Below are 15968 nucleotides of genomic sequence, written 5' to 3' on the forward strand. Positions count from 1 at the left end.
GGCTTTTCAGTTATCTAAGCACCACTGATTAAATAGTGAGTCATTTCCCCTTTGCTTATTTTTGTGAACTTCGTCAAAGTTTGAATGGATGTAGGTATGAGGCTTTACTTCTGTGTTCTCCATTGTGTTCTATTTATGTATAGATCTGTTTCTGTACTGTCACCATGCTGTTTTGGTCACTGTAGCCTTACAAATATAGTTTGAAGTTGGGCAGCGTGATGTCTCTGGCTTTGTTCTTTTGCATAGGATTGCTTTGGATTTTAGGGCTGTTTTTTGGTTCCATATAATTTTAAAATGGTTTTTTTTAGTTTAGTTTTTTTTTTTTTTGAAAAATGATGTTAACAGCTGGATAGAAATAACATTGAATCTGTAAATTTATTTGGGCAATATGGCCATTTTAACAACATTGATTTTGAAGAATCTGATGACTGTGTCTTGAAGTGGTCATCCTGTATAGCACAGAAGTTCTCCGAATTTGCACTTGAACCTCTATTGCAAGGTTGGGGGAATTTCCATCTTCAAATGTGTTTTCCATGTTGCTTTCTCTGTTTCCATCTCTTTCAGGAATGCCAATGAGTTGTATGTTTTGTCTCTTTACATAATCCCATATTTCTAGGAGGTTTTATTTATTTTTAAAAATTCTTTTTTCTTTATTTTCATCTGCCTAAATTGACTCAACATAGCAGTCTTTGAGTGCTGAGATTCTTGTCTCAGCTTGGTCAACTGTGTTACTACTGCTTCCAACTGAATTATGAAATTCCTATAGTAAATTTTTCACTTTTAGAATTTCAGCTTGCTTCTTTCTTAAATGGCTACGACATCTTTTAACTCTTGGCTGCTTAGTGTTATCCTTGGATTTGGTTTCAGCCTTCTCTTATATTTCGATCAACTTCTATGCTATCCAGATTCTGGATTCTATTTGGCCCCATGTGCTATTGAGCACAGTGATTCACTGTGGTTAAGAACAATTGCTGGGGAGCTAGCAGGGTCATTTGGAGGTAAGAAGACACTCTGGCCTTTGAGCAGTTGACTCTGGTATAAGTTGGTTTAGTTGATTGTCTTTATTTCTGGATGCTTTTAGGGACCAAGGCTCAGCTCAGCACTCCTGGGGTGCATACTCTAATCCTAGGGGCTGGGACTAGGCCTGCAGGTTTGTACTCTGGCCCCTCAAAGTTAAGCACCTACTGTCCACAGGGGCAGAAGTGTTACCACTTCACTGGCAACAACGCCATGAAGGGGTAGCTGGCAAGAGTGCTGTGATAGGGCAGCAGTGGACCCGACATGTGTGCTCTCTGCAGGGTGGTGGCAGGTCTGCACATGCCTGAGAGATTTTTCTAAGTTTTTGTGATAGGCATTTAGCTCTATACAATTTCCTCTTATCACTGCTTTTGCTGCATTCCAGAGATTTTTGTATGCTTTATAGTTTAATAAAAATGAATCTACTGAACAATATCACGAGATAATTACTATCTTATTCTCATTTCATAGTAAATAAAAACAAAATAAAGACTTTAAAAAATTGCCCAATAATTTCTGTATCATGGAACAATAATATTATTTTTAAAAAATATGTTTATAAATAGGATCTGTTACAGTGAGAAGGACGTTGGACCCAAAATTGTTAGGAAAATGTGGATTCTAGGTTATTTTAAATGTCCATTGATTCCAGAAAGTGTCATGATTCATGGATTCTCCAAATGTCTCAGCTGCAAGTAAAATAGCGGGGAAAAAAAAAATAAACACCCAGATATGACATGCTGCTCTGTTTTCTTCCAGAATATTAGATTCTAGATGGCAGGCATTTTTATTCTTACTTGTAGTAATAAGAACTCATCCTTTATTTTCAATAGGCTCACATTAAATATGTCAGTATTGTGTTTAGCTGGAAGAAAGATTTGATAATTTCTTATGAGGAAAAGGAACAACTGGTGTGCTACAGGAGAATTTATTTCTATTTTGCCAGCACACAAAATATCCATGCCTAATAAAAACACTCAAAGTTGGAGTCTAAAAAATTAAAAATTAAAATGATAATATGCACACACACATGCAGACACATACAGAAAATTTGTGATGGCATCTGCCAGTAGAAAAAAGTAATGCAAAGTTTCAGTTCTCCATGATTCTGGAGGAGACTTTTTTCCCACAAAATTCTAATCTAGTCCCATAATGATTTAAAATAGGGACATTTTAACACACACACACACACAAACACACACCCCACCACCACCACCGCCACCGACAACAACAACAACAATGAAGAAGAAGAAAGGAAGAAATAGTTGAACTTCATTTTAGCTGTGTTTTACTGAACCAAAAGAGAGCAAATGAGACCTGTGGCTACCAACATCTAGTCAGCAGACTTTTCACCACGTGATGAAATGCTGCAAAACATTATTTGGTCCTATTTTTATTGCTTTAATTGACTAACTGCTATTTTGGATATACTATTTAACTTCACTGATTTTGTGTTTTTATCTTTCACATAAAGATTTGAAGAATTTACCTCCCCACCTGTTGAAGATTTTGTGCAGAAAAACAAAAATTTAAAAACTGCTGTCTTAAAGAAAATAAAACAAAACCTGATCAGCGGTAGCACTGCTAAGTAGAAGCACTGAATTTTCTCCTGGCTTATTAAAATAAGTTTATATTTTGATTAGGACTAGTGTGAAAATAGTTTAAATTTGTACAGAGAGCTGGACACGCAGTTTTTATGGTACTGTTTGTAATCAACCATCATTACCCATGTGATACATGTAGGAAACACATCTACAAACACTTTAGTCTCCTTTTATTAGTACATTTTAAACAATTGGTTAGCAATGTCCATTATGTACATTATCTTTAGTAAAATCAAAAAGTCCCCATCCTCTGGGAGTTTACACTCAAGCAGATGAAAATCACAGTGATGATTCAATCTAATGCTGCTCAAGTATAATAGACAATAACTGATGCTGAGACGGCCTATACCAGCCACTTCTTAAATGGTAGTTAGATGATGACTGCAAATATATCTGCAAATACATCAGGCTCATGGGATAAAAAACTGGGGGATTTTGAAAATCCACTAAAAAATGATGGACATTTAACTGCTGAGAAATTTCTTGAAGGATGGGAAAGATTTGGTTAGGCAACTATGAGGAGAGGGTCATTTGATGCAAAAGCAAAAGAAACAGATTTGGAAGAGTAAAGACATTAGCATACATATAACATAGTAATGTTATGTCATCTGAGTTTTCTTTTAATAGTTAGGCATGAAGGGTGAAAATATATATAAATATCCTCTCTCCCTCTCCCTCTATGTGTGTGTGTTTAAATCTTTCATTGTTCAGTCATGTTAGAACAGAATTTATATTAATGTCCACTATTCAATTTGGCTGTCAAAGCAAATGACTCTCAGAATTCCCCTAAGTTTCTTTCATGTCTCATCTCCTTAACCTGTTTTACCTATACATCAACTTCAAAGGGAATTATTTCTCTGAGAGAAAGATGAATAAAGTGGGCAAGACTTACATCTACTCAGCACAGTGAATTTGCTAGATTATCATCACCATGGTCATAAACATAAAGTATTTCAGTGAAGAGTGACAGGAAAATACAAGATCAATAACAAGTATACACTAAATCTAAATATCCATTTAGTTTTTGTATGTAGAAATTTTTTAGCAACTGACTTAGCTTTTTCTAAGAATTTCAGTTGCTATTCATTTCAACTTTACAGAAATTAAGCTGTTAGAAACCAGATAACATTATAGTTCCTTGCCAACACACATCAACTTACTCTTTAGTAAATGATGCCATAAACAATATAAATGATTATTTAAGCATTGCTCATAATATCTAAAGAAGAAATTCTGAAAGTCCTTAATCTCTGTCTGGGGAGGTTAAGAGTAGCATGGCTCTGGACATAGATGATCTTGAGTTTAAAATTTTGCTCTGATAAATTCCAGCTATATGACATTGGGTAACTTACTTTATTTTACTTATCTCTGTTTCCGTATCGAATTCCCCTCAGAAACAGGATATTTGTGAGATGTGAATAGAATTATAGAGAAGGTAGGAAGCCCTTGCCTCAAAACCTGTGTATGGTTAAGATTTGAAAGTCTCTGTGTGCTTGTGTGTGTGTGTGTGCATGCACATGTGCTTACCTGTAACATATTTATGGCAGAAAGAGTGAGTATAAAATATGGAAAAGATAATTATGCAGGGCCAGAAATAGAAATCAAAAAAATATATGTAGATTAAATAAACAGAAATTAAAAATGAACAAAAATGAAAATCATAAAGAAATCAAAGTTGCAGTCAAGAAGTAGCGTATCATCTAAGAAGTTAAACTAGGGGAAGGTTGTTTGGCACAATAAATTGCTAAGTTCATAAAATTTTTTGAAGTTTAGGTCATCTGTGATTTCTTAGTGGCAATCACAACTATATTACCACTATGTGATTTCATTAATCAGAATAACTATGTATGACAAAAATCTGTATTATTAACAATTCTCTCAAATGATTCAATACAACTACCAAAGCACTACATTTTGAAAAACATTGTAAATCTCACTTAGAAAAAAAAATCTACAACATATGGTCACATGTGCTATTAAGCAAAATGATTTTTTTTCTTTTTTTTTTTTTTTTGAGACCGAATCTCGCTCTGTCACCCAGGCTGGAGTGCAGTGGCGCGATCTCAGCTCACTGCAACCTCTGTCTCTCAGGTTCAAGCAATTCTCCTGACTCAGCCTCCTGAGTAGCTGGGACTACAGGCACGCCCGGCCAATTCTGTGTGTGTGTGTGTGTGTGTGTGTGTGTGTATGTGTGTGTGTGTGTGTGTGTGTGTTTAGTAGAGATGGGGTTTCACTGTGTTAGCCAGAATGGTCTCAATCTCCTGACTTCAAACAAACAAACAAACAAACAAAAATTTTAATGGGACCATTTGGTGAAGGGATAAGACACCTTGTATGAACTTGGAGACCCTAAGTATCTTATTAAAATACATATTTATATAAGCAGGCTTTATTTTTTAAAAAGTAGCAGTAACAACAACTTTTCCTTTTACTATGTTTGCTAAAACATTGTAGGAAAGACAAAACCTTAAAGAAAACCTCAGCTTTCAAGGTGCTCACAAACTAATAGAGAGAGAAAGTCATCAAGAGTTAATTTAAAACTCAAGCTGCTGATTAGCAGTGCAAGACCACAAGAGAAGAGATGTCACAAGGTAAGCAGTGATTAACTGCTACTTGAATTACATTGACAGTAATTGATAGAGGGCTTCAAAGAAGGAAGAGAGTATATGATGACCCAGAGTCATCCAGAGGTGAACCTGGGCCAGGTGCCTCTCCATTGAAAAAGCATGTGAAAGAATAAAGCACCACAAAAGACCTTTGAAAATTTTATAAGATTAAAAAAACGAAAGTTGGTACTTCCTATGTGATTTGAACAGTGCTAGGTGTTCTATATGCAATAATTTCTTTAAATTTCAGAACTCTAGGAGCTAGATGTTATTGCTAATTTTAAAGATGAATAACCAGGATTTGGGGATAAATAGTTGATGTAAAGTCACTTGACAATTGAATACAGAATATAAATTATGGTGATGACTCTGAATCTTGTTCCTGTTCTATCACATCACACTAACATCTGGCATAGTTGTTTATTTGGAAGAATCAGTAATGTGACACAGGTGATAATGTCAGATCAATGAATTTTAACCATAATTATTTCCACATGTGATACATTTTGATGCTATCAATTTCAATTATTTATTTTCAATTACTTTCTCTTTCCATGTTCTGCCCTCAACTCATTGACTTAATTTTGTTTTTGGCCACCAATTTAACTGTGGTTGAAATTTTCTGCAAGCTCTGTTCTGGGATTTAACCTTGCAGAGATACTTAATAACTATTTTCAGTTTTGTCATTTTCTTATTGTGACATTGCTCACTTTAAGACTATTTGACACAAGATAAAATACAAAGATTTACTTTTAAAAAGACGTGATCAAAGAGAAGAATGGATTTGTCTTTGAGGTTTTATTTAACTTCTGATGCTGCAAACAATATTTAGCCTTAATACACAAATTTCCCTAATGTAAGATAGATTGGTGATATAGTTTGGCTATTTGTCCCTGCCCAAATCTGATGCTGAAAGGTAATCCCCAGTGTTGGCAGTGGGGCCTGGTGGGAGGTGTTTGGGTCATGGGAGTGGATCCCTCATGGCTGGGTACTACCTCAGAATAGTGAGGGGATTCTCAGGAGGTCTGGTTTTTTAAAAGTGTGTGCCACCTTGCCTTCCTGTCTTGCCCCTGCTCGAGCCATGTGATGTGCTTGCTCCCACTTCCCCTTCTGCCATGAGTAAAACGCCTTGAAGCCTTCTCAGAAGCTGAGCAGATGCTGGCACCAAGCTTCCTGTACAGCCTGCAATACTGTGAAGAAATTAAACCTCTTTTCTCTATAAATTACTCAGCTTCAGGTATTTCTTTATCGCAATGCAAGAATGACCTATTACAATGAGTACTTTGGTATCACTAGAATAAGAGATTGGGAGCAAAAGTTAAAAATAATGACCTCAAGGTTTACTGATGTTGAAGATATTGTGCAAAGTCAACCAGTCATAGAAGGATAAATATTGCACTGTTACACTATGTGAGGTATCTGAAGTTGTCAACATCACAAAAAAACAAAAGTAGAATGGTGGCTTCCAGGGGCTGGCAGGGGAGTGGAACGGGGAGTTGTGCTCAGTGAGTATAGGGTTTCAGTCGTTCAAGATGAACAAGTCCTAAGATCTGCTGTACAATATTGTGCTTATAGTTAATCCTACCGTACTGTGCATTTAAAGCTTTGTTAAACAAGTAGATATCATCATATGTGTTTTTTATCACAATAAAAAAGTTAAAAATAGAAATTCACATCAGAAAACTCAAGATCTTATGTGACAATCAGGATAGTAAGTGGTATCTTGAAAACATTCCTTATTATTTTTGGTACATTAGTACCAAATTGGCACATTAGTAATCTAGATGTGCACGATTGAAGCTGCTCAACCCCTTTACTTACAAACATTCCAGTCATGCTTCTCCTCTAACATCACTAAAAAGCTCAGTCTTTATTATTCTGAATGTCCAGAATCTAATAAAAATGGTAAGAAAAAAGTCAAGAATAAACAAAATCATACCCAAACATTCCCCAGATTTTGGAACTATTAGGTAGGCACATTAAAATAACTATGGTATATATGTCAAAAACATATGAAAATAAGTGATGGTGTTTACATGTACTATATCGACATTTGTTAAAACTCCCAGAACTATCCAACTAAAAGTGGTAAATTGTATTTATGTAAATTATGTCACAATAAGCCTTAATATAAAATATCGATATAGCATTTGTTAGATATGCTCAAAGCCTCTTTTGGGTCTAGCTGATCTTTCCCTCGGGTCACTGAGGGAGATTGTTTAGCTTCCAGCTCCCGTTCATTAGACATTGTCTTCTTCAGGGACTTCATAGCAATATAGACAAAAATATCATAATACGATTTAATAAAACTTTAGGGTTACCCAAAAGACCTACCTAACAATTGTATTTGTTACACTTTGAACTAAAAAAAAAAAAGTCAACACCATTCTCCATCTCGTTCCTGACAAAGATGCTTTAATATCCATGCAAATTCTATTTGCTTCTATCTCTGATGCCCTGCCCTTCCAGCTGCCATTTTCAACCATTCCGGTTAAGATATTTGTCTTGCATTTTCATTCCCAGTCTTTTAGTTACTTTATTAAATGCTAAAGTACTGCCTCATATTTTTGTTTGTCTGATTTGTGTGTTTGGCTTTCTTACCTGTACTCTACGCTATTAATAGGTTGAGTGAAACTATGATGTCTTTTAAAAATATATTTTTAAATAACATTGTTTCACTGAGAAGAATTTTTTTTAAAAGCTATTAATTATATGAAGACAAAAGGGAGAGTTAAATCTCATCTCTATTGGATTTTATTGCACACGCATTTCCTTCTTCCCAGCTGGCCCCTCCTCCCGCAAATCTCAACTGGGTTCCTCAGAGATGTGCCACTGTGATGTCCCAGCCCTGCATTACTGTGTAGTGTCTTCAGCTAGCTGGACATTTATCGTTCTATTAGATTACGTACTTTCCTTAAACTTAAATGTTTTTATTTTCTTTCCTCATTGTCTGCGATCTGGAAATAGAGCTTTCAGTTCTCATCACTCCTTAAATTCTGTGCTCTTTCAGAATGCCATTTTCCATTTTTATTTAAAAACTATTATGAACCAAAAATACAAAGCCAAGAATCATAGACTATACACCACAACCATCCAGTGTAATCACACACACACCCCCAAAAAAACTGAAATTATTTTTTATGCAAACTTACTTTATCAAAACGGTCTTCTAAACTCTTAAAACACTGTTTTCACAAGCAAATTTACTTCTAGTGACACCTTCAAGACATAAACGATGGGAGAAATAGAGTAGTGCTAAATTGTGTCAAAGCTCGACCATGTTTGGTTATTTTTAAAGTGTATATAATGTTAACAGGTGAGGTAGTTAAATTTATACTAAGTAAAGTTTTGCTAGTCTTTCTACTTTGTGATAACTGATGTAAACTCTTAAGATTTTCTTGATATTTCTAAAATTTTAAAGATGAAATTAAAAAATGATAAAACCATAGAATTAATATTAGGGATGAGACATTATGGAAATTAATACAAATAGCCATTCATTTGTGGGTATTAACTTATTTTCATATGTTTTTGCCATTTGAATTATTTTATGTAAATGTTTCATTGATTTATAAATATGTTTCGTAATTGTATTTTCTAAAACAATTGGTGACTGTTTGCAAGTATTGGAAATGTATATATTATCAAAATATTATCTTTTTTCTAGAAACAATTCTAAAAATTTTCTGCAGAAAGTTTTATTTTCGTAAATATTGACATGCCATTTATTTCTCAGCCTATTATTTTAAGGAAAATATTCTTCTCTTACATCTACTTTAACTTTCTTTTACATTTATTGCTTAATTTATTTGGAATTCATTGTCATATATTCTTATTTCTAATTTTTATTAAAATAGATTTAGTGTTTTAACATATAGCAAAATCATTAGTGTTGATTTTCAGATACTAGTTTCATCAGTTTTATTAATTATAAAATATTTTTATTTTATGTCAAGTTTTTCTTAGCATCTACTGGGCTTCAGCTTTTACTTTCTCAGCATGCATTACTATAAGTATATTTTTTCTCTTTCTATTTATTTGTATATTTGCTGATGTTAAACCACGCTTTCACTCATGATCTTAGTAGATTATTTGGAATACATAAGCAAGTAATTTTTTTACTATATTTATTTAATAGATGGTATATGTGAGAACAATAATTAATCACAAAACCTGACCAATAAAATGAATTCTCCAGTTTGTTTTTTCCTATTCATTCAACTCCCATTACACCCATTTAAAAAAAAAAATTCATTTTTAGTTCCATTCACTTTCTTTTTTAAAAAAGAAAAAAAACCATTATATATATGTGTGTGTGTATATACATAGAAGGGTATATATATATATATATATCTCAACATATATATGGATATACATATAATGGATATTTAGAGAATACATATAATTTAATGTATTCCTGGTTCATATAAACTATTTATTTATTTAGTTTATGAATGCTTATGTAACTTAAATCTTTTGCTCAGCATGATGATTCTGGGGATTTATTCACATTACTAAAGTTAAACATTGTTCCCAGGTTTCTGGACCATTGATGCTTCCTACTTTTCTGTTCTGTTCTGTGTGCTTACTTTTCGGCTAAGTTGTGTTTAGTAATTCTGAGCATTTCATATGGATTCTTCCGTATATCCTCATATCATTCCTCCATTGCTGTATATCCTATATATCATTCCTCCATTGCTGTATATCCTGTATATCATTCCTCCATCTTGCAAATATCTCCCATCCTTGTGCTGCTTGTTTCGGGGATCTGTCCATGATCATTTGTTTAACAGTCATTCTTAATTTTGAAAGACATTGATTTATGAGTCTTTTCCTTTACAGTTTACATTGTGTATGTTGGTTAACAAATTATACCATAACATGTGATATCATATCTTTAGCTTTCTGTATTTCTTCTATAATTGTTTGACTTAAATTATGAATATCTATAATCCAGCTGGATTGATTGGGAATGGGGGTGTTCGAATTTTTGTGTGAGGTAGCAGTTGAATTTCATTTTATTTATAAATATGGATACTAGTTTTTCCAGCATGATTTATGGAAGCATTCGACTTTTTCCTATGACCTACAATGTCAAAATTCTGGACTGTATTTCTGGACTCCTTGTTACGTTTCCATAGGTTTTATGTGTCTATTCTTGTGCCATTATCTCACTCTTAAGTACTGTAGCTTAATAATTATGTGTCATATCTTCTAAGCGATGACTTCACAGTTTGTGTTCTTCACTCTTGGGCTTTTGCACTTCCATGTACATAGAGAATTATCTGAAGAAATTAAACCCATAGTCTCATGCACACGTGCATGTGCACACTCACATGTAAACAAAAACCACACCTCTGTTGACTTTTTGTTTTACTAGAATTTCACTAAACTGATAGATCAATTTGAAAAAACTCAACATTTTTCTTATATTAAGTCATTCAATTCATGTATATGATATCACATAAATGTTTTCTTATAAATAATCTCGATTTTCTGCATAAAGATATTGCATTGCTTTTGATAGATTTACTGGTAGGTGTTTTATGCATTAGAAAACTAATGTAAATGTCACATTTTTATCATATTTTCTAAATACTTTTCCTAGTGAATAGTGACATAATTTGAGGATATTGACATTAATTTTTTTATGAATATATGTACTGTACTTTTAGAACAGTTTTATGTATACAGAGCAATTGAGCAGATAGGTCTCATCTATCCCCTCACCCTGTACACAGTTTCTACTAGTACTAATGCCTTACATCAGTATGGTATATTTCTTACAATCAATAAATCAATATTAATATAATATTAAGTAAGTTGATTATATGCAGATCTCCTAGTTTTTACTTAATGCCTCTTTCTTTTCTAGGATCCCATTCAAGATATCACATTACACTTAGCTGTTGCATCTCCTTAGGTTTCTCTTGGATATGCCATTTTTCAGACTTTACTTGTTTTTGATGACCTTGACATTTATGAAAAACACATTTTCAGGTGTGTTATAGGATGCCCTTCTATTGCAATATGTCTGATGTGTCTGATGTTTTTCTGATTATTAGAGAAGTGTTATGAGGCTTTTATTTTCACATTTAGACCTTTACTGAGCAAATGTCTCACACTTTGACAGGGACACTCTGCGGGAAACAGTTGAGAGATCCATGGTACACGCGCGAGATGAGAAGATGACATTTGTGCCTTCATGCAGTTGGTTAGCAATGGTCATCATCCACAGTAGTTACAGAAGAAGGTATGGCCATGGCCATTAGGAAAGTGAGGGTGAGGTGTTCCATTGTGGTGCCTAAGAGGTATTCAAGGTGGCTAACATTTCTTTAGGCTACAACTTTTGACATACAGTCTTCTATGTCCTGCTTTCATCCATTCTGTATCATTAGAATTTAGAACTGTCTGTTTTAAATAGTATATAGGTTGATACTATATCTTGTATTAGAGATTTATCCTTTAGCTGGAGCATGCAAGTTACATATTTATTATAATTACTGGTATATTTGGACTTTTTCTATGTTAATTTTGTGTTTGTGCTTGCATGCTTTCTATTTATCAAACCTCTTCAATTTCTTTTTTCTTGCCCCTTTGAATACTTTTTTAAAAATTGCTTTCTACTCTCTGCTAGTTTAGAAGTTAACCTCTATATAAAATTTTCAATGTATATCAAAAAAGAAAAAGTGGTAGCCACACTACACATTTGGATCTCCAGATGCAACAATACCAAGTGCGTTTTTTCTACAGTAACTTGGAAGCTTCTAGAGTCTAGCTTTTACTATCAGAGATAACATGATTGCTAGAGACAACAGGTAAGTTTCTGCTAATAAAGTCTGGTTTTGTGGTTGATTGGTGCTCTTGGCTGCCATGCTCCTCTGTAGCCTCTAATTTGGTTGCTGGCCTTTCCAGAGATTGTAAAAATGATCAAATAATCTTTAATAAACTCCCATTTGCTGATGCTATCTTAAGTGGATTCTCTTTGTATCTAAGAACCCTGACAAAATAAATTTGGGTGCTTTGTTGTTTGAGATATACACTTTTCTGACTATCCCATTGTTAATGTCACAGTGCATCATATCCCTTTCTTGCTCAGTGTTTTTAATCATAAATTTCATTTTGTCTGATGTTGATTTTGTCACTTTTGCTTTTGCTTGGTGTGCATCTATCTCTCTGGTACATCTTTGAATAACCTTTTATATTTAGCTTTTTTAAACAATTTTTTTCTTATACTTGTTTCTTATAAACAGCATCTCAATTAATTTTGCTTATTAGCCAAGTTTGACAGTATTTGCATTTTAATTGGAAATTCAACTCTATTCATATTTAGTGCAACTGCCTGATATGTTTTAATTTAGTTCTTCATTTTATCATTACCATTCTATTTATTTCATTGTATCTTCTTTACAACTATCCTTGTTGTCATTGGCTTAAATCTGTAACTATGCATGTATTCTCATTTTTTTCTTGTTAAATTGGGAATTTTGCTATCTTTTCTTAAAGGAAAGTACCTAATTTATGCATCTAATCAAACATATATCTGAACAATTTTATGCAATCAATAGACCAACTATTTTTCCTACCAGACTGTTTACTTTTTTCTCAGTCTTTCTTCTCAAGCTGAGGATAACTTTAAAGGGTTTTAACCTCCCCATTTCTCTTATGCATGCATGACACATGAAACCCGGTGAAGGCTTTTGCTTTGCCCTTTGATCTACAAACATGGATACTGCATTCCCCTCTGAATCATTTAGTGATTTTGTGTGAGTTCTTTCTTGAATCATTCCCTCATTGGAGTTATTTTGGTGTTATATTCTATGAGATACCTATTGTTGACTGCAAATATTTTCTTTTATCTTGACGAATAATATCTTGGAGGATTATAGTGTTATCACCTGATGCTCTTTGTGACCCATACAAATTATTTCAACAACTTCATGTTAAAATTAGAATTTTCATGCAAGTTCAATTTCTTGTTATTATTATTTATAAAGAATAAGTCCTTTCTGTCTGGAAAGTTATAAAATTTTCTCTTCTTCTTAGAGATCAGAATTATTATGTGGGAATGTCTAAGCATATGTCTTTTGTCATCAATCCTACAATGAGCTCAGTGTTATTCTTATAATCACAGTCCATGTCTCTTTGGAGGTTAGGGAAATTATTACCTCTTTATTTCATTTTACACACACACACACACACACACACACAATGTGAAAATGTTGGTGAAAAATACTGGCTGTTTTACTGAACTCTAATTCAACTCTCAGCAGAAACTATTCTTTTTTCAATTCCTCTAGTTAGTGTAACTTTTAAAAGTACACTTTTTAACCTTCAGTCTTTGTGATATATCTGAATTTCCCCTCTTTTGTGATATATTTGAATTTCCCCTCTTTTCTTTATCTATGAAAAGAGTCAAACTCTGTAAAATATTTGAAGAGATTTATTCTGAGCCAAATATGAGTGATCACAGCTCATGACACAGCCCTCAGGAGGTCCTGAGAACATGTGTCCAAGGTGGGTCAGGGTGCAGCTTGGTTTTATACATTTTAGGGAGACATGAAGCTTCAATCAAACACATTTGAGAAATACATTGGTTTGCTCCAGAAAGGCGGGACAATTAGAAGTGGGGCAGAGGGTAGGGGGCACTTCCAGGCTATAGGTAAATTTAAATATTTTCTGGTTGACAATCTGTGGAGTTTGTCTAAAGACCTGGATTCAGTAGAAAGGAATAATAAAAGATTGTGGAGACAAAGGTTCTTTTGAAGTCCAATAGTGGCTGCCCTTAGAGACAATAGATGACAAATGTTTTTTATTCAAACTTCTAAAAGGTGCTAGACTCTTGGTTAATCTCTTCAGGACTGGAAGGGCCTGGAAGAAAAACATCTAGCTATGTTAATAGAGATTCCCTACAGGTGCAAATTTTTCCCCCACAGAGGATGGCTTTGCAGGGTCATTTCAAAATACGGCAAAGAAACATGCTTTGGGGAAAAATATTTTTATTTTCTTCTTTGTTACATAACATTATATCAGAGTCAGATTGGAAAGTAAGTGATGATATATAAGGTTAAATAAAACCCATCTGGTGAGAATTTATCATTTGTAGGGCATGATTTCCCAGGCCCCTTAGGTAGGAATTTGGGCAAGATAAGAAAAAAATCACAGCCTGGTCCTCATCTTATTACTTTATTGTTCTCTACATTACTATTTTCAAGTTGATATCTGTTTCCTTTAGCAGCTCTATTTTTTTTTTTTTATTTTACTTTTTTTTAGCTCTCACACCTGCATATCCTTAGGTGTTGTATTAGTTTCCTGTGGCTGCTGTAACAAATTGCCAGTGGCTTAGTGTCTTAAAACAACGCAATTCTATTATCTTATAGCTCTGGAAGGCAGACATGCAATGTAGGTCTGACTGGTTAAAGGGATAGTGTTGGCAGGGCATGTCCCACCTGGAGGCTCTAGAAACTCTTGCCTTTTCCAGATTCTAGAGGTTGCCAGCATTTCCTGACGGTGGCTGATCACTCACATCTCCACTTGTCCGTCCCTTCTTTTCCTTCCCATCTCCTGCCTGTCTGCTCTTAAGCATTGTTTAACTTAAAGACCATGGATTCTAGCGCCTCATCCCGACAAGCTAGGATGGCAATCCACCCCGGCATGCCCCATGAGGACCTGTGGAGTCAGGCAGGCAGTACCGGGACGGCCCTCTTGGCCTTGTGACTGTAATACAACCACAGCCACATTATTCAAAGGAAGACAAACGCTGTATTGAGCTGTCCTGGATATCCAGGAGCTCTTTGAGAGAGTGGAGAGCGGGAAGTGGAGCCGTAGTTGAGACAGACTCAATGTTCTGGGCTGCCTGCCGTAGTCACGAGGCAGGAAGGGAGACTGCCTGAGCACAGCACTGTTGTGTGTTTTTGAAGAGATTATCCTCCTTTTCTTCCTCTTGTGGTAAATTGTGAAAGCCTGGAGTAAACACTCAAATGAGGTGCTGGTTATTGTTATCAGAATCTCACAGGAGTGAGAAGCCTATTGTGAACTGTGCATGCAAGGGATGTAGGTGATTGAGCGCTCCTTATGAGAATCTAACTAATGTCTGACGATCTGAGGTGGAGCAGTTTCATCCTGAAACCATCCACCCTCCCCTGCAGGATCCTGGTGAAAAGTTGTCTTCCATGAAACTGGTCTTGGTGCCACAAATGTTGGGGACTGCTGCTTTATACAATGTACTGAATTTTGTCCCCTTCAAATGAACATGTTGAAGCACTAGCCCCCCAATATAATGGTATGTGGAGATAAAACCTTTGGGAGGTAATCAGATTTAGATGAGGGTAGGGCCCCCCATTATGAGTTAGTGTCCTTATAATGGAGACACCAGAGCGCTTTCTCTTTCTCTCTCTCTCTTTCTCTCTGCTGTGTGAGAACATAGCAAAAAAGCACTCATCTGTAAGTCAGAAAGAGAGCCTTCACCTGACTTTGCTGCCAGCCTCATCTTGGGCTTCACCCTCCAGAACTGTGAGAAAATACATTTCTATTGTTTAACCAATCAGGTTATGGTATTTTGTTATAGAAGCCTGAGTCAATTTAGATAGCTTAATATTTTTTAAAGAAAATTAATGATAAACTGGAATATTTAATTTCTTAAATTGAGAGCTAGACTTAAATGCAATGGCTATTTACAAGTTTTGCCTAGATAATTAGCAGAAATAGCTAGAAACCGTAATCAAGCTTTGTTCCTGTGAAT

Source organism: Homo sapiens, chromosome 2, assembly GCF_000001405.40.
Source record: "Homo sapiens chromosome 2, GRCh38.p14 Primary Assembly".
Classification (NCBI taxonomy): domain Eukaryota; kingdom Metazoa; phylum Chordata; class Mammalia; order Primates; family Hominidae; genus Homo; species Homo sapiens.